At 41.7% G+C, this 19,633-nt stretch overlaps 1 long non-coding RNA gene across 2 annotated transcripts in view, besides 3 other annotated features; it reads right to left on the bottom strand.

Annotated features, from left to right (window-relative positions):
- LOC107987083 (uncharacterized) overlaps window positions 1-19,633 on the bottom strand; it is a 122,361-nt gene that overhangs the window by 77,863 nt on the left and 24,865 nt on the right. The gene's annotated exons all lie outside the window — the stretch shown is intronic.
- Window positions 2,916-6,140: an enhancer, noted in NCBI's record as "VISTA enhancer hs1530". NCBI's record gives its function as "enhancer in: forebrain[3/3] | limb[3/3]" and the evidence as "EXISTENCE:transgenic organism evidence [ECO:0001131][PMID:17130149]".
- Window positions 4,796-5,090: a silencer, noted in NCBI's record as "tiled region #1047; K562 Repressive non-DNase unmatched - State 24:Quies". NCBI's record gives its function as "represses a minimal TATA promoter and a strong SV40 promoter by Sharpr-MPRA in K562 cells {active_cell/tissue: K562}" and the evidence as "EXISTENCE:reporter gene assay evidence [ECO:0000049][PMID:27701403]".
- Window positions 8,307-8,873: an enhancer, noted in NCBI's record as "NANOG hESC enhancer chr9:81008146-81008712 (GRCh37/hg19 assembly coordinates)". NCBI's record gives its function as "activates a minimal SCP1, AML or CMV promoter by ChIP-STARR-seq in naive H9 embryonic stem cells {active_cell/tissue: H9 hESC(naive)}" and the evidence as "EXISTENCE:reporter gene assay evidence [ECO:0000049][PMID:30033119]".

Here is a 19,633-nt window from a genome sequence, read left to right as displayed (position 1 = left end):
TCTCCCAAGGAGCAAGATCTAAAGTATCTTGAAGAAACTTAAGCTGAGAATTAATATATATGTAGGAATTGCCTAACAAAAGAGAAAGATAGGGATTCTAGGCAGAGAAATTATATGCAAAGGTATGAAGGCATAAGAAAGCAATGGAGCTGGAGCCTAGAGTGTGAGGAGGATGAGGGGGAGTGCGAGGGCTATGAATCTTGAAGGCAGAAAGTATGTAATACACCAGAATAAAAGTTTAAACTTTAATCTTTAGGCAATGGAAAGTCATTGAAGGATTTTGAATAGGGCAATGATTTATTCAAATAAGCATTTTGGAGGCACTTCTCTAGTGGCTATTGAAATAACAGAGTAAGAGCAGAGGAGATTAAAATAAGGGAAACCCAGTTTCCTAACTAGTTGCCATCATTATGATCAGATAATGAGGATCAATATGAAGGCCATGAAGGCAAGATGAGAGATACTTAAGGAGAGGAAATCAATAGAATTTAGTGATTAAGTGAACATGGAAGGCAAAGAAAAGGAAGAATGCAAGAATTGCAGATTGCAGGCTGGAAACAGGAGTAAATGGAGCTGGCTGAAAAGTAGGTCATCCCTTAGATATGTGAAGTTTCAGCTGCCTGTAAGACATCCAGGTAAAGATATCTACTGGGTAACCTTACATGTGTGTAAACATATGTGTGTATGTACATATATGTCTATGTGTGCATATAAACTTGTTAGCAGAGACTGGGGCTAGATCTGTTTGAGAGTCTCCACAAGAGGCAGCAACTGACACATCCATGAATTACATCATGGAAGGAGAAGAGAAAACAGATTTCAGGGGAACATTATTAACATTTGGGAAAGGGAGAGGTCAGGGAAAAAGAAAAACTCCAAAATAATTCTGAAAAGAAACATGTTACCAAACCCAACTGGGATCCACTTAACTGGCACAGTAAAGCCAAACATCCACACCAAGGTTTTGCAGAGAGAAAAAGGAGAATTTGCAAGGCACCAAGAAAGCAGTGGGCAGCTTCAGTGATGGCTTACAGAATAGAAAAGAAAATAAAATTCTGTCCTTTAGTTCACATAGTCTAAACATGGAAGTGCAGGGTTCAAATAAACAAAATGCCATGTGGAAGATACGTAAGAGGTAAGTACAAAAGAATAGTAGTATGAAAACTGATCTAAAGCAGAGTCTATCAAACTCAGCACTATTGACATTTTAGACCAGATAATGGTCTAAGGGCAGGGGTAAATTTCAGGAAAGCAGAAGTTACAGACAAAATCATAAATCAACATATGAGGGTTACACACTGGTTTGGCCTAACAAGGCAGGCTATCATGAAGCAGAGATGTACAGGTGATAGGTGGATTCAAAGACTCTGATTTGTAATTAAGTGAAGCTTTGTCTAAAAATGTGGAGTCAGCAGAAAAAAAAAACTGTATTATTATCTGGACTGTGGGCATGACTTTCCCAGGACCCTCAGAAAGAAATTTAGAATAAAGAATGGTGATCAGAAGTCAGGTCAGCCCTCAGTTTTCCCTTGTCTGAGGTCTATGTGCCAGTGGATTCATTTGGTGGGGGTCTGGGTTTCTGAAAAACTTCTTGCTTCTCAGGTTGCTCATTTACTTCTCAGGGCTTGCTAGGTAACTGGAATTTCCCTTGAAGGAACTCAAGGTTTTCCTTTACTTCCGTGCTTGGGAAGCCTGGCAAGCCCCTAAGAGGGATGGATCCCTGCTCCATCTCAAATAGAGATAAAAGAAGTAAGATGTGATCAGAATGTTTGTGTCTCCCTAAAATTCATATGCTGAAACCTAACCCCCAAGGTGGTATTAAATAGTAAAGCCTATGGGAGGTGATAGAGTCATAAGGGTAGAGTCCTCATGAATGAGATTATTGTCCTTATAAAAGAGGCTTGAGGGAGTTTTGTTTGCTCTTTCCACCATATGAGGATGGATTAAGAAGACAGCATCTATGATCTGGCCCTCACCAGAGTGCTAGTGCCTTAATCTTTGACTTCTCAGCCTCCAGAGCTGTAAGAGATAAATTTCAGTTACTTATAAGCTACCCAGTTTATGGTATTTTGTATAGCAGTGCAAATTGACTAAGACATAAGAGATGATAGAATAACAGCAGCTAAAGAGAGAGAAAGAGACCATTTAAGAGAGAAGGAATAGTCAATGGTACAAAAAAGCCAAGCAAGGTAAGAGCTGAGTACTGGCCCTTGGATAGAGTGATCAGGAGCTTCTGGTAACCTTTGCCAAGGCAATGTTAGGAAGGTCCAAGAATCTGATTGCAACAAGCAGGGGAGTCAAGCAGACAACTCTTTCAAGAATCATAGCACTGTTATTATTTCAATAACAAGATTGAGCATGTTTGTCAGCTAAGAGAATGGACGCAGAGAAGGAGTGATTAATAGTAGTAAGTCCTCTAGGACAAGTTAGTGGAAATGAAGGATGTAGTTGGTGGAAGGGACTTACCTAAAAAGAGAGAAAGACATCTCTACACAAAGAGGGATTTGAAGGTGTGTGCGCATTACAGAAGATGTTCATGCCTCTGAGAAGAAGGCAAGGCCATCTGCTAAGAATTAGATCAAATAAAGTCCTTTGAGGGGAAAAGCTAGGTTGGGCACTCCAGAAGGGAATAAATATGTCTAATAACTATCACCAGAAATTGGAGAGAACTCAAACACAGAGAAAGCTGACCAGGCAGCTTTGAGGATGCAGTTGAGATCTGAACTCATTTGTTTGTAGTGGGGCCACTCTGGGGATGTGCAATTTTTCTGGGCTGCACTCAGCAGCTCAAATAAAGATGAAAGGAGAGGCAGAGATTGCTCATGTTTGGGGATTTGCAGGAGAATTCTGGCAGAAGGTCCAAGTAGTGGGGAACTCAGATTGTTGGTGAGAAACCAACTGACTGGATCAGGTGGGGGTGGGAAAAGAGAAGTCCAGAGGACTATGACAGGGAACTGGTGATGGATCATTTGGTGACACAGAAGTTGATTACAAATGGCCACAGGCTCTGACACCCGCCCATTTGCAAGCGTCTACTCCACCTCTTGAGCCTGGGTGGACTCTGCATTGTTTAATAGAGTATGGGGGAAATGAAATGATGCCATGGGAGCCAGGTCTTTAGACACTGGCAGCTTCTACTCCTGGTCTTTGGAAAATCCACTCTTAGAGCCCGAGCAGTCATGTTAGAAGGTCACCTACACTGCCAAAAAGAACACAGAGGGGAAGAAGAGCCCCCACAGAGCCATGCAGTCCAGCTAGCCCATAGAGGCACTGGGCATGTGAGCAAAACCAAGCTGGACCCTCCAGACCAGATGAGCACCACTGAGCAACCCAGTCCCTGCAACGTGGAGCAGTGGAGTCCAGCCCAAATTCCAGACTCACAGAATTGTGATGGAAAATGATAGGAAGTTGTGTTCTGGGTCGACCTGGAGACTCCAGAAATGAGGCTTTCCCAAGTTTCACAGGGGCCAGGGTCTCGCCATGGGGGTGGACTATCAAAGCAGGTGGTGAGAAAGATCTTGGCTCTTATTAATGTGTGGGAGAAAAATTATTACTGAAAGGCTGGGATGGGGTGTGGGGGATTTACTCAGGATCAAATTATTGCTAATCATCCCTGGCTGTTCTTATTCTGAATTTCAAAAAAGGGATGCAAGTGGGGAAATTACTCACCAGCAGTCACCTCAGCTGCCACTGTGATGCCTGGTGACACATAATTAGAAAACAAATGACAGATTAGTTTAATAATATTCATTAGCAACTAATGAAACTGACAGTGTTTCCTATTGAAAGCAGGTTGGGCTGTTAGTTGATTTTAAGCAAATTGTGCTCCACCCCCTGCACAGTCCGTCCCCCAACTGCCTTTCAGCTAAATGACAGGTTGGAGGTAGAATGAGGAGAGGATTGTAAATGGGTCATAAAATGGCATAAAGAGTGAGATGGTTGAGGGGACAAAGAGAATAAGAGAATACAAAATCAGAATGGGAGGGAAGAGATTCCTGGGATCCAGAGGGGAAGAAAGAGAAGGAAAGGGTTAGGCTTAAACTTTCCCTCCCAGGTATCTTCAGACATCTAACTGCTCTCAAAAGCAAATTTCCATTTGCCTCTGGGAGGAAATGGTTAAATGGAGAAAAATCAGTGCTTGCTTTCCGGCATTGTTGTTCTTTTCTTTATCCTTAAAAAAATAAAAATAAAAAAAATTCTCCTAAGTAAGAATTTTAACGATATGCAGAAATCATAGCTGTCTTGCTGAATCGCTGTAGGACTGACCCCCCTTGACAGTTCTTAAATTATTCAGCTATCAAGGGCCTGCTAAACATTAAATTAAGCATCCTCTCTCCCCTGTCCTAAACCATTCAGTTATGCAAATGCACAGATAATGGGGCATATGACAGCTGGAGGCATTAATCACGCAGCTCTGTCTCTGGGCTGTTTTTATGTAGGAACTGCATCTGCCAACAGACCGAGCAGCCACAATTAGATCTCACTTAATGGAATGAGGAGCCGCTACCTAGCCCTCCACACTCGTGTTAGGTTGTAGACCTGGGAGTGAATAAGGCACTTGGGAGATCTCACTGCTCTCATTCTTTCTCTCCCCAACCCTCTCTTTTAATACCTGCTCCTCCAATTGAAATGAAAAATTACCTGTAATTGTTATCATTTGCAAACAAAACCTGTCAGAAGACAAACCTGCTGTTTACAATGGATGTTTTTGTTGTTCCCCGGGAAGGTTCTTAGGGGAATTTCCTTCATTTGTTTTTTTTAACTAATTCTCCATCTCTGAGGGGAGGCTCAGGGCTGGGGAGTGGGAAGAAGAAAACAAACAGATTTCCCATTACAGTCTCCAAATTGCTGCCTTGAAGACGCAGACTGACTCACCCTGAAAGGCTGCTGGAGTACTCGCCAGCTTACCTGAAGTTCATTTGTGGCTGCTTTGCTTCCACGAAGATAATTGTAAAAGAAAGCAAGGCAGGCAGAGCCAAAGCATAAGCTACCAGCCTCTCCCCAACAGGAAGCCATGAATTAGACCGGCTGCAGAGACATCCCTATCTTCCAAAGAACTTGTGCTTCCTCATGATTTAACATACTCAATTTACAGCTTATGTATATGTTAAAATCCAAGTTGTTGAGCATTTGCACAGCGGTCTATGTTTTGTATTTTATCTGTTTTTTCCAATTTTACTTGATTAGGATATGAAGACAACACGGATAGCTTTCCGGAGTACATGATTTGCTAACAGTTGCCATCTGTATGGGACATAAGTTGGTGTATCTTTTTTATATACCAAAACGTTGGTTTCCAAATGGCTTCTCAAGAACAGTGCTCCATGGTTCCACACAGTACTTATGGGTAGAGAGGGGGCCCCATGTAGAAGTGGATCGTGATCATGACCCTCCCCACCCCCAAACAGCAAGAGCACCGTTTTTCACACAAAAGCTCAGTATGTGAAACAGTTACAAGGAATAAAAAAGTTCTGTTTCTAAAGTAGTTTCAAAACCACTGCTCTCAAATGAGGTTAAGGAGACATGCAGACTTGGTCTCTGGTGACATTCAATCTCAAATCTGCTCTCCCTGCTTGCTAAAAATAGAATCATCCAAATGGCTAACAATCAATGGCACTGTTTTTGCTCTTCCCATCAAAAGTTCTCCAACACTTTTAGAAAGTCTACATATGTTCATGAGCAAGAAACCAAGTGTAGAGAGGAGGGGTGATGATGTGCTAAAAATTGAAGCCAGCCACCCTCCCTTCCCCTCTAATCCCACTAACTACCATTTCAGGCCAATTAGCTCCAAGCTGGGTCAGTGCTCCCTGAATGTAGGCCTCACCTCTGACCTTGAAAATGCTTGCACAGTGAGAGTGAGCAGGCCAGCTCATGGAAATCTGTAATTACTACCGGGGGAGGAAACTCATGAAAAGGTTTATCTGGTCAGGTTCAGTAAAGTCAACTCAAGCATATACAGGACACGGGGTGCCCCTTCCCAGACTTCCAAGCCTGGCCATACTGTCTTTCTTTAAACCTTCAAACAGTTCTTCCTACTAAGGCCCTTCCAGAGCCTGAATAAATCCAGTTACAAGGTGACCTAACTCAGTCTCAGCTCCTTGTTTCATCTGGAACAAGATCTCAATGGCTATGGGACTGGTTTCTTGGATTTGAGACAGAGCAAGGAGCCCCTCTTAAAGGCCTGCTACCCAACCCCCCAAACATGGAAATATAGGGAAGTCTTGAGTTCCTTCAAGGGAAATTCCAGGTACCTAGCTAGCCCTGAGAAATAAATAAACAACTTGATAAGCAAGAAGGTAATAGTAGACTAAAACAATAGCCAAGAAATTTAGAGTCAGGAGATGTTCGATTCCCCTACAGAAAGTAAAAACAACATCTTAACATATGTCTGAGTTATTTTTCAGAAACTCCGACACCGCCCAAACATATCCACTAGCACATAGACCTCAAATAAGGGGGAGCTGGGGACTGTACTCTGGCCACAGTTCATTGTTCTAAGTTTCTTCCTGAGGGGCCTGGAGAAAGTCAAACTCACAAGAGATAACATTCCTTTCTGCTGACCCTATAATTGCCAGATGGTTTCTCCCTGTCTGCTGCACAGACAAAACCAGTTCATTGAGACTGTGGTATTGTAGTAAAGGAAGAGTTTAATTAACGTGAGGCTGGTCACACAGAAGATGGAGTTATGACTTAAATCAGTCTCCCCAAAGGCTCAGAGGTTAGGGTTTTCTGAGGATAGTTTAGTGGGCAGGGGACTAGAGAATGGGTGCTGCTGATTGGTTGGGGATGCAATCATAGGGGTGTAGCAAACAATCCTTGTGCACTGAGTCCACCTTTGGGCGGGGGTCCACAGGACTAGTTGAGTCATGGTTCATGAGTCCAGGTGGGCTCAGTCTGAAAAGCATCATGAAAGACCAATCTTAGGTTCTACAATACTGATGTTATCTATAGGTGCAACTGGGGAAGTCACAAATCTTGCAACTCTGACCCCATGACTCCTGAGCAGTAAGGGATTATAGAAACTATGCCTACATTTTAGCAGAATCCAGGACACTGTCATCATCCTAATCTCAGGGCTTCTCATTAGTTTTTGATCTCTGAGCAAGGAGGCAGTTAGTTTTAGGGAGGGACTATTATGCTTGCTGTCAAGTTAAACTATAAACTAAATCTCCTCCATGGCTAGCTTGGCCTATGCCCAGAAGTCAATAAAGACAGACAGCCCATGAGGCTAGAAGCAAGATAGAGTCAGCCACAAATCTGAGTGCTCCAAATGCAACCCTGTGTGACTCTTCTCTACTTAAAAATTGTAGGGGAGTAATAACAACCCCACAGGTTTGTAGAAAGAATGAATCTCTGTGTCAAAATACAGATTAACAAGAGAAAAATAAACATATGTTTATTAACATATACATGGGAGACATCCAGAGGATGAGTAGTTCTCAAAGAGGTGTCTTTGAATTCCGACTTTTATCACTTCTCTAAAAACTGTTCTTTGCTGAAGTAACAAGACAAAGGAAAAGTACTATAAACCAAAAATAAAACCCTGAGCACTTCCAAACAACAGAACAGATCATCTCTTGACCAAGAGGACCCCAGAGAAACCTGAAAAACTGAATTTCTGGCCACGTCGGGAAGAAGTAGGACATGCTTCATGATATCCCATCCCTTTTGGAGTTTAGGCACAACTGACCAGCATGAACGTGTGAACCCTGAAAATCTGAGACAGTTCTCAGTTAATTTAGAAAGTTTATTTTGCCCAGGTTGAGGATACACACCTGTGACACAGCCTCAGAAAGTCCTGAGGACATGTACTCAAGGTGGTCAGGGCATAACTTAGTTTTATACATTTTAGGGAGGCATGAGACATCAATCAATATAGTATAAGAAGTCTATTGGTTAGGTCTGGAAAGGCGGGACAACTTGAAGCAAAGGCAGGAAGACTCAAAGCAGAGAGGGGCTTCCAGGTCAAGGATAGGCGAGAGACAAATGGTTGCATTCTTTTGAGTTTCTGATTAGCCTTTCCAAAGGAGGCAATATGCATCTATCTCAGTGAGCAGAGGGATGACTTTGAATAGAAGGGGTGGCAGATTTGCCCTGAGCAGTTCCCAGCATGAAGGGGACCAAGATATTTCTCTTTCACAAATGTTAAAATAGAGATCATAGGACTGACAAAACAGACTCTGTAGTAATAAGATGCCAAATTACAAACAAGACCTAAGGCCACACAAGGCAAGGGGTGAAGTCATACCCTACAAACCATAAAATCTCATTAAAAGGCTTTTTTAACCTGATATGTGGCTTACTTTCTAACCTGATATAGCATGACAGATCTGTCACATGACAGCAGACTCTGAAGGAAATAAGAATTTTTTACCTCAAAATATATTTCTTTAACATATTTTGAAATGGCCCTACAAAGCCATCTTTTGCGGGGAAATTTTACACCTACAGTGAATCTCCATTATTGCAGCCAGGCCTTTTCTTCTAGGCCTTTCTAGGATCTAGGAGAGATTAAGAGTCTGATGCCTTTAAAAGTCTGAAAAGAGACATTTACAATCTATTCTCTGAGGTCTGTGACCTAAAAGGCTTCATCTACATAACAAGAACCATGGCCTCCACAACCCCTTTATCTTAATTCAAGAATTCTTTCTACTGATGATAGTTTGACTCTCTTCTCAACCAATTTTCAACTACATCCCTAAAACCTACCTATGACTTGCAAGCCCCCACTTTGAGATTCCCACCTTTTCGGGCTGAACCAGTGTATACCTCCCATGTATTGATTTGTGTCTTTGCCTGTAACTCCTGCCTACCTACATTGTGTAAAACCAAACTGATCTACCCACCTCAGGACCACTTACTCAAGGCTTCTTGGGTTTGTGTTTTCTCCAGTCCGTGGTCACTCATATCAGTGCTCAAAAAACCTCTTTAAAATATATTACAAAATTTGACTTTTCCATTAACAGTAATTTGAGTGTCTCTGGGCAGCAGCACAGGGAAAGACAAATAACTGGCAAATAACAGCTAGTTAGTAAAGCTTGCTATTACATGTTTCTCTTGTATCATCTCCAGGCCAATGGTGGGTCTAAAAGCTGTCCTCAGTGGTTAACATTTGTTCTCCCTGGTAGAGAGGGGGGCAGGATACCTTTGGTCTTTGTAAATTTATGTCCTGCTTCTATGCAAATAGAAGGACAGAGAGTTGTCCTGCATCTGTTTAATTATCTTCAACTTGATAATCCTTTATATTTTGGGGAGGCATGTTTTGGTCTCCCACTTCTCCACCAACAAACTTCTGACCCAGTTGAGGGCAGGTTCCAGCTTTATTCATTCTTACCTATGTTGCTGTCAGGGCAGAAAATCTTCCCTTCCACTTTCTCTGAAGTTTTGCTGGAGTGAACTGACAACAAACAACTTAGCAGGAGAAAAGGCATACAAATGTATTATGTGCATAAGCATGGTAGCCATACAAAATATGATACCCTGGCCTGGCACAGTGGCTCATGCCTGTAATCTCAGCATTTTGGGAGACTGAGGCAGACGGATCACCTGAGGTCAGGAGTTTGAGACCTGCCTGGCCAACATGGTGAAACCCCATCTCTACTAAAAATACAAAAATTAGCCAGACGTGGTGGTGTGCACCTGTAGTCCCAGCTACTCGGGAGGCTGAGACAGGAGAATCGCTTGAACCTGGGAGGTGGAGGTTGCAGTGAGCCGAGATCATGCCACTGCACTCCAGCCTGGGCAACAGAGTGAGACTCTCTCACACACACAAAAAAACAGAGACCCTAAGAAGGGCCAAATGCAGGCTTAAATACCCTCTTCACAGGGGAGAGGGAAGTAGGCACCTATAGGCAACTTTAGAGGAGAAGCACATTTTTAGGGCGAATGAATAGACCCAGGAGGCAGATATTATCTTATAAATGATTCTCTTTGGAATTTGAATGAACGGAGAGCAGACAACGTCTTGTGACAAAGTCTGTCTAGGTGTGGCTTCATTCCTCAGTTCTACCTGAGATGGATAATGAAATTTCAGGGAGGGAATGGAAGGCAATTGTGTCCTTTCAAGGGGGTCTAGTTTAAGGCAGATAAGGAAATTTCAGATAAATATTCCACCCTGCACTAGGGGGAGGGAGGAGACAAGAGAGGTGTGAGTGCTTAGTACACAATACAAGGTTTGAAAAATGGTCTTTCCATGTCCTGTCACTCCCGTCCCCCAATCCCGTATTAAATGAACAATTACATAACAATTCTCATATCTACTATACTCAAAGTAGAACTTGGGCTGCTTGTTAGAAGAAACAATTCAAGTGCACAAGCAAATGGATACCTAGCCCCCTTAGTTATGCATCTAGAGGCCCCACCTGGTGGATCTCAATAGAAACACTACTCCCCACTCCCTAAAATCTGTCAACCCTGTTACTCCCACCAGGTCTAGCAGTCATCTTCCTCTTCCTGTCCTGCAACACACAACACTGTAAGTGTGCTTTGTAGCACTTACTACTCATTTTAAAAGTCATTCTATTCATGTATCCCATTTCTCACTTATTGTTCATCTTCCCCTGCCTGTCCTGCAACACACAACACTGTAAGTGTGCTTTGTAGCACTTACTACTCATTTTAAAAGTCATTCTATTCATGTATCCCATTTCTCACTTATTGTTCATCTTCCCCTGCCTGTCCTGCAACACACAACACTGTAAGTATGCTTTGTAGCACTTACTACTCATTTTAAAAGTCATTCTATTCATGTATCCCATTTCTCACTTATTGTTCATCTTCCCCTGCCTGTCCTGCAACACACAACACTGTAAGTGTGCTTTGTAGCACTTACTACTCATTTTAAAAGTCATTCTATTCATGTATTCCATTTCTCACTTATTGTTCATCTTCCCACTAGAGGGTAAGGTCCAATGACACACATCTGTCTCAGGCTCCATCTCCTCATCTGTGCAGAATGCAGTGCCTTGCATTTAGGTATCTGAAGGGGGTGACTGCAGAAATGGTCATCTGCAAATTCCAGTGGGCCTAAACACTCCCTTGTCTAGAGGCTTTTGAACTACTCCGGCTCTTCTTCCTCTCCATAAACACTGTCTGAATAGCCTAAAGAGGCAAAAACGGCAGAGAGCCAATGGAAAATACCATGTTTTCATCCTGGAGCAGTGATAGAGATTTATCAGGCAAAGCACTTTGGTTGCTTTTAACCTCAGTTGGATTTTAAAATGTTGGAGTCCTCTGGAAATGCTGATTTGCATAAAGCAAACAAACAAGTATCATTCTTTTGTGATGATTTTCATTTTCAAAGATCCTAGTACCCACTGTGCTGCTAGCATGTGGTCTAAAGCTGAGCAAAGCTTTCCATTTTTGTCCCAATGCTTAAACCTTCTAGGAAGGCTGTTCAAGAAAGTGCCCACCCATGAAGTTTAGCTTGGGGGAAATAAAGCTGAAAGATGATTTCACTAAGGTAGCTTAGAAATTTAAAACAATACTTAAATTGAAGCAGATGTGATTTGCATTTTCTGGCTGCAAGGACTAGACCTAAATTAGGATACTGAAAGAGGTTTTACTGTCTTCCTTAATATTAAATTATACAAATATCAGATCATTTAATTGAACAGAGTAGGAGGGACAAGTACAGGCTTGCTGAGCAGCTAGTCTACATTTCTGGCACTCTATTTTGTTCAGAAATATTTCACGACTTAACTGACAGGAACCCAACTTATACTAGCATAAGTGAAAACAAAAGAAATTGATTGAATTGTAGAACTGAAAAGTTCACATAAAGGTCTAGCATCAGGTATAGCTGGATCCAGGTTCTTTACAGAAGGCAGGTGTTATAAGATCTTTAATTTTCAAGAGTTTTAGCATAATATTATGCATATGTTGATTAAGCTTCAATTCTAGAAAGAAGTTGTAGCTCTAATAGACACTTATATAAGAAAGGGAAGCTGCCAGAGGCATTAACTTTTTTTTTTTTTTTTTTTTGAGATGGAGTCTTACTCTGTCACCCAGGCTGGAGTCCAGTGGCATGATCTCGGCTCACTGCGACCTCTGTCTCCCAGGTTCCAGCAATTCTCCTGCCTCAGCCTCCCAAGTAGCTGGGACTAGAGGCACACGCCACTACACCCGGCTAATTTTTTGTATTTTAGTAGAAATGGGGTTTCACTGTGTTGCCTGGGCTGGTCACAAACTCCTGAGCTCAGGCAATCTGCCTGCCTCGGCCTCCCAAAGTGCTGGGATTACAGGCATGAGCCACCGTGCCCAGCCCTGGCAATAACTCTATATACTTCTATTATCCATATCTCCATCATCACTATGTTAATTGGCAAAGCCTTAGGTGTTAAGAAAATGCTAGCTGGTTAAGTAGCATGATGGGTGTTAGGAATGGGTTCTCAATGGTAAAATTAAGGCTATTCAAGATATGTGGGTTGGCCAAAGTAGTTTTGAGAGGCTCTTCCCTCTTGCAAGAACTGTGTATATCATTTCCTCAAGACCTACAGCTTTTACCCCTAGCGCTGGTCTCCAGTGCTTAATCTTTAACCAATCACGTGTCAAGCCATGTGTTTGGAGGATTTCTGGTTGTATCATGCTAACCTTAAGGTAAAAGAAATTGCCTCTGGGATACCATCATCTCTGTCTCGAGTGAAACTTTCATGCAAAGACACTGATGTGGCCACTCTGCAGACACAGGACAAACCCACACCCAAAGTTTGGTTCAGATATGGAGACTGATGATGCTCTCAAGCACACATCCCTACCCACCCATAATTGAGTTCCCTAGGGAGAGCAGGGCAGGCCTCTCAGGCTTGTTTGAACCTGCTTGAAAAGACAGTATCTCAGCCTGTACAGGCTGCTATGGCAAAAATACCATAAACAGGGAGGTTTATAAACAACAAATTTATTACTCACAGTTCTGGAGGCTGGGAAGTCCAAGATCAAGGCACTGGCAGACTTAGTATCTGATAAGGACCAGCTTTTTGGTTCATAGACAATGCCTGCTCACCATGTCTTCATATGATAAAAGGACCACAGTAAGGTTTTGGGTCTCCTAGAATCAATGTCATTTCAGAGACTGTGGCCAGTATTCCCCAAAAGTTCTAATTATGTTTTTTTCCCCAGTGCATAGTTACCATGGTAAAAGGCCACAAGTCCTTCCGGGGAAGGCTGGGAGAGTAATTACCAGTATGAGTTTTCAATAGTGTGTCAGGGTCCTTCCTCAAGTAGGCACAGTCTCTCCTTCATTCAAGGGGTTCTGGGTCTATAAACTTGTTCAAGTCCTAGAATTTACTGAAGGACCATGACTGTTTTAATTATTCAAGTTAGACTTTTGTTGATTTGACCTGAAATTTTTCTGCTTATAGAGATCAAGAATGTAATAGGCTTCCTATGTATTTCACTTCTAAGAACACCATGATTATTAACTAGCCATGCCATAGATATGTGTACATTGGACTACTCTGAATGCTACTTTGACTCCGCTGTCCATTTTGGTAACTATACCTACTTTGCCTTTGGTGGTTGTGTGTCACCAGCTGGCCCCTGCCACTCCAGGATCCAATCACTCCCACTGTATTAAGCTTTCCAAGTGAATGACTGTAGTTCCCCCGGTAAAGTCTGGCCTGCAGAAAAGAGTGATCACAAGGCTCTTCAGTGATACTTGGGCTCCCGTCACAAATTAATTTCTCAAAGTATTGGTGAAAGTTATATCTTCTGGACCCTCCCAGTGTGGGTAGGTCTTAAATGACAAATCTACTCTAACATTTTAATCTCCCCAAGCCTTTTAATCCCCTCCTCTACATTAAACCAAGAGAGATTGGACATTATCCAATTAGCTCACAGTGGGCCAATTTTTGATCCATGTTTCAGCCAAACGGAGCCCTTTCTAGCTCCCCAAGCTGTAACATTAAATTCAAAGTCTCTGCTTAGTGGGCCCACATCAATAAATTCATCCTGATCCAACTTTATGTTCCTTCCACCATATCCCACGCACTTAATATTCATTTTCACACATGCCATAAATTAGAAATTATTTATGCTTATATAAATTAGAAAACCTAGTTCTTTTGGAGTACAGTATACCTCCTCATGGGTCATACTTTGTACCTTATCTTTAGGTGACTGCTGGAACTTGAGTCTATAAGTTCTCAAGAGATCTCTATAAGCAGAAAAATTTCAGGTCAAATGAACAAAAGTCTAATTGAGTCTAGTTAAAGATCTAAAGCCAACGGGGCCAGCAGGGAAAGTCCTGAGGAGAATTAGCACCCTCTTGCATGGCAACTGTCTGAGAGGAAGCCATTACTACTATTTCCTCAGGTAATGCTGTGTTAATCCCTGAAGGCAGGAGGCTACTGTTACTGGCAAAAAAAAAGACTCATCAGAATTGAGGGGCTCAATGTCCCCCAGCTTCAACAGAGTCTTCCCACATTTCCCTATCCTAACTTACAGAAGCCCAATCAATGACCTCGCTTTAACAGTAGTCACCCTGCTAAGCTGGGAGTTCAACTTGCACTGTAATTCAGCCAGTCACAGGATAAGGTCCTACATTTGGTTTTTGGCAATTTCAGCCCCACAGCTCCAGGAAACAAGGCTTTCCCCTCAGACCTTAGGTCATTTATGTGGCATATGTGCTAAAAATTCAAATCCTTAAGCTTATCCTTCTCTTTCACCACTTTGCCCAGTAATGTTAGGAGAAAACAGTCAATGTCATTATATTCCTTACTTTTCCAAAAATGTTCAAGAGTATCATATACAGAGTTACTTAGCTCCTTGCTTCTTATAAGTGGTTGATTAGGAGTACCCAATGTAGATGTTTTGCATGTCTCTATAAACAGTTCATGCCATGGACTATCAGTGCTCTTTTTATTTCTGAAAATAGTCACTAACATATTTAAGTTGAATCACGTTAGAGAGACAATTTCAGAAACCACACAACCAATTCAGAACTCTCATCCTTAAAATTATGTTCCTCTAGAACCACTGTCAATACCAAAGTCTGTATTAGCCAGGGATCTCCAGAAAAACAGAACCAACAGGATATATAGAGATAAGAGAGGAGGTTTATCATGGGAATTGGCTCACATGATTATAAAAGCCAAGAAGTCTCAGGATATGCATTCTACAAGCTGGAGAGCCAGCAAAGCTAGTGATGCAATGCAGTCCAAGTCCAAAGGCCTGAGAATCAGAGGAGCCAATGGTGTAGCTCCCAGTCTCTGAGGTCAGAGGCCTGAGAACCAGTAGTCCACATCTGAGAGCAAGGGAAGATAGACTTCCCAGACCAAGAAGAGAGAATTCACCCTTCAGTTGCCTTTTTGTTCTATTTAGGCTCTTAATGGATTAGATAATGGCCACCTATATTGATGAGATTTTATTTATTCAGCTATTGTTTCAATTGATAATCTCCCCCAGGAACACCCTCACAAACACTCACAAATGTTTTATTGGCCACCTGGACTTCCTTAGCCCAATCAAGTTGATATAAAATCAATCATCACAAAAAAAGAAAGGAGACTGGCCTGGGTTTTTATTGTGATTAGGGACTGCTGCCAGGGAGAGAGTTCACACAAAGAGGCTCATGTGATTTGAATCTCCCTCCCCAACAAAGCAGGGAGCACCCAGGCCTTCTCATCAGCTTGCTCACATGTAGGGCGGGAGGAAAAGAATGAAGATGGAAGTGTAATTTGTCAGCAAAGATCAAAAAAGTGAAGTCAGACTCTATTGCAGACCTAAAAGAATAGAGATTTTGAAATTCATAAAGCTAATAAAACAAATTTGTTTAACTGGCTCTTGCTTGAAATAAAATATTTATTAACTGTCTGCCTATATGATAGAATTTGTTTGAGACTTGCTCTTATTATAATCCAGTAGCAACGTTAGCGTAGTTAACCTTATCCACCTTAAACCTTTCAGTGGCAACAATTATTAATCAAAAACAACTCATGGGTTTTAGTTGATCAAACTGTTTTAGGTAGGTTTGCAAATACCTCTGCATTCCTTTATGTCATGTCTGTTCTCAGGCAGCTTCTCTGCAAGTGGTGGCAAAAGCTTAGCACACTAGCATTGCAGTGACCCCAGCGAGGGAACAGGCCTCTTTTCTGATGAAGCCAACAACACTCTAGCTTGGCTCACATGCCTGAACTGGAACCAAACCTCTGATGGGCCGGGCCAGGCCAGACTCACCTGCTCTTCGTGAGAATCAGGTTACTCAACGAAAACCATAGGGCCTTCAAGTGAGAGAGAGGGCACACAACAAACCACAGTCGTCCACTTCACATGCTTTCCCAGTCAGGGATAAGACTGGTCCTTTCTTAATATAACTTGGCTTTCCAAAACTGCAATTGCCACATGGTATACACATACAATGGAACATTACTCAGCCATAAAAAGGAATGAAGTACTCACATGTACTACCACGTAGATAAACCTTGAAAACATTACACTAAGTGAAAGAAGCTAGACATTTTAAGAGCCACATATTGTGTGACTCTGTTTATATGAGATGTCGAAAAGAGGAAAATTCTGAGACAGAAAGTAGATTCACGGTTGCCATTAAGTGGAATGAAGCCTGCTGATAGGTATGGGGTTTCTTTTGAGGGTAATGCAAATGCTCTGGAATTAGTGTGATGGCTGTATAACCTTTTGAATGTACTAAAAAAACCACTGAATTGTATACTTTCAAGGGGCATTTTATGATTTATGAATTAAGTAACAAAAAATTAAAGCTTTTTTTTTTTAAGGCAGCAAATGTGACTTTACAGATAGAATCACTTCAAGCAGAGGGAAGCTGACACTACATGCCTTGGATCCCTTCTGTCTCAGTAATCAAGATAGCCCGAAGGGGCTCCAGTCACAAATGAAATGATACTTTATTCAGTGGCAGGTTATCCATAACCTTGCCTCTCCTAAGGCTTTGTTCCTTCAAAGCACAATTTCCCAAGCTAGTGTTCTACTGATCACCATTGCTCAGCAAATTCAGAAGCACTGGATGAATTAAACAAAGTCTAAAAACTTTCCTTCTGCAGAATTTCTGCAGCAGGGGGGACTCAACATGCTAATGAACATTGTGAATCACTAAGAAGAAAATGGGATATGTCTCCTACCGTTAATTTGACTATAGAACTATGTATTTGGTTTTTCTCTGAAGGAACATCCTTTGGAACTAATTTTTCATGGAAAGTGGTTTGAAAACCACCGCTCTCCAGCACTAACTGGCCCTTCATTTCTTTGGATTCTGAGAGATCCACCATAATAAGCAAATCTTATTACAATTGACCGTTTTTTCTTAAATTTACTCCAGGGTTTGATCCCTGGCCTTGTCCTTTGTTAACTGTGTGACTTTAAGCAAATTTCTTGGGTCCCTCTGCAATCCAGTTTTCCATCCATCAAATGGGGGATAATTCCAACCTCCCAGAGGTATTGGAACAATCAAATGAGGGGCAAAATAAGATGCCAAGCACAGTACCTAGTAAAAATCTAGTGCTTAATAACTGTGCATCTTCCTTATCAAATTTATTATAAGTTCTTCACAAAGAAGTAAGCCTGTGTCTAACTGCCGGTATGGTGCTATGCCCATCACAGACTCTGTGTTTGCTAAATGAGTGTGTAAATGCACCGCTGGACCCACATCCCTGAGCCACACAAATCCAGAGTAGACAGTCCATGACAAAGTGATGACCAGAAATGGGAAGAATTCTGGAGCTTACCACACATTCTGTACTAGAGGAAGTTTCACAAAACCCCCCACAAAATATACCTCTCTGCCTGGCTATACTTTGCCTTGCTTTTTAAGGATCTCAGTGTTCCAAAGCTTTGCTTGAGTACACTGATGATATGAGCTGCTTTTCTGATGCAGGCAGATGGATGATCCTAACGCAGAAAGCATTAAAGCAGAGAGAACAATCAGTCCACAGCCAGGAAAACCTAACACTGACACACAGAACGACATTCTTCATGAGGCATGCTGGTTAAGAACTTGGACTTGGGAACCAGATCACCTGTGTTTGAATTAGGCCCAGCCAAGTTGACCTTTAATAGATGCTTAACCTCTTAATGCCTCAGTTTCCAGTCTGAGCACTTACAGTGTTGTGATGAGGATTAGAATTAATAAGTGGGAAATGCTTGGGGCAAAATTTAGATCATAATAAGTACTCAGTAAGTATTGGTGGCTATTATACTCATAATAATTGGCATTATTATTATTAGTGCTTTATATCACAAGCCCTTTTCAGCCCTGTTCTACCCTTCTCATATCTAATAGTACTCTAACCTCATGGGTGAAACAGGAGAAGAGGGAAAAGTTATTAGACTGAAAAGACTCAAGCAATACCATCAGAATTACTAAAGAAACTTTGTTCATAGAACAAGTGTGAAAATTTCTTTTTATTAGTATTAAAAGGGAATTTTAAGGCTGTAAGACCTTAAAAGGAAGTAGTGGTTACTATAATGGTGTACTTTGAGCCACATGGCTAGTTAGCACCTTCCCTTTTCACTAGGAGCCATGAAATCTATTATGTTCCCTTAAGAGAACAGTTTTCAATGAGAAATTGCTGCATTTGTAAGGAACATATTGACCATGATAGAAAGATTTTATTCACATCTATGACAAAATTGGACATGACTAAAAGGTTTGGGCAGCTCAATTGTCAGCATCAAAACCTAGAAACAAATATCATGATACCCATAAAAATGCCTTATGTGTCACAGGACACTGATCTAAGCCTATAATTCACATTCCAGTGTAGGCGGCCCTGAAGGCATTTCAGATCAGTGGATTCAAGTATGTTTAGCAGAACGAGCCTCTTCTCAAAAAATCTTACAGAGAACCCAAATATGTAAACCTAAAAATAATATTGCTGAGTCACTCTGGGTTGAAAAACATAGAATGTCAGTTCCTTCCACCCAAGAGTGGCCCCTGAGCTCTTCAAATAAATGAAGTTTTCAGGCTTCTCAAAGAACTTTTCAGACTCCACGAGGTCATACAAGGTTCCATGAGCCACCCTCTGCCTCCACCCATAAACTCAGACATTAACTTGGAGAAGATCAAGGTGGGGAGGAGAGAGTATTGCCATAAAAAAGCCTGTACCATTATTCCCAAAATACAGATCGCCCTCTGAAGGGGCCTTTTACAATTATTAGATCATACTAAGTTCTAAACTGCATTAAACTAAATATCATTAAATTTTTTCCTTCTCATCAGTAAGTGGCAACTCTTGAATATCAGATCAGTTCTAGGCAGACTGAAGAAACTACCTTTTCTCTGTCCATTTCAGTAGCAGTTTAAGTACACTTGCAACATTGTGTACTTGCTAATGTCTTTTTCATTGTACTAATTTTTTGATGCGTGAAGGGGGCTGTCCTGTGCTTTATGAGATGTTCACCAGCATCCTTGGCTTCTACACACTAGATGCCAGTAAAAACCTCCAAGTTGTAACAACCTAAAATCTCCAGACATTGCCAAATGTCCCTTGGGAAGGAAAATACCTCCAGTTGAGAATCCTATTCCAGACTAACCCCCCTTCCAGACCATTTCCCACAGTGGCAGGAGAAATCTAAGATGTCAGTCTAACCAGGGTACTCCCTGGCTTGAAGTCCTTCCATTTGCTCATTTGGTCAGGTGGTAAACACTTGAGAGTACCTGCTG

The sequence above is a fragment of the Homo sapiens genome, chromosome 9, assembly GCF_000001405.40.
Source record: "Homo sapiens chromosome 9, GRCh38.p14 Primary Assembly".
Classification (NCBI taxonomy): domain Eukaryota; kingdom Metazoa; phylum Chordata; class Mammalia; order Primates; family Hominidae; genus Homo; species Homo sapiens.
The sequence above is the reverse complement of the archived record's forward strand: the minus strand, read 5'-3'. Positions and strand labels throughout refer to the sequence as shown.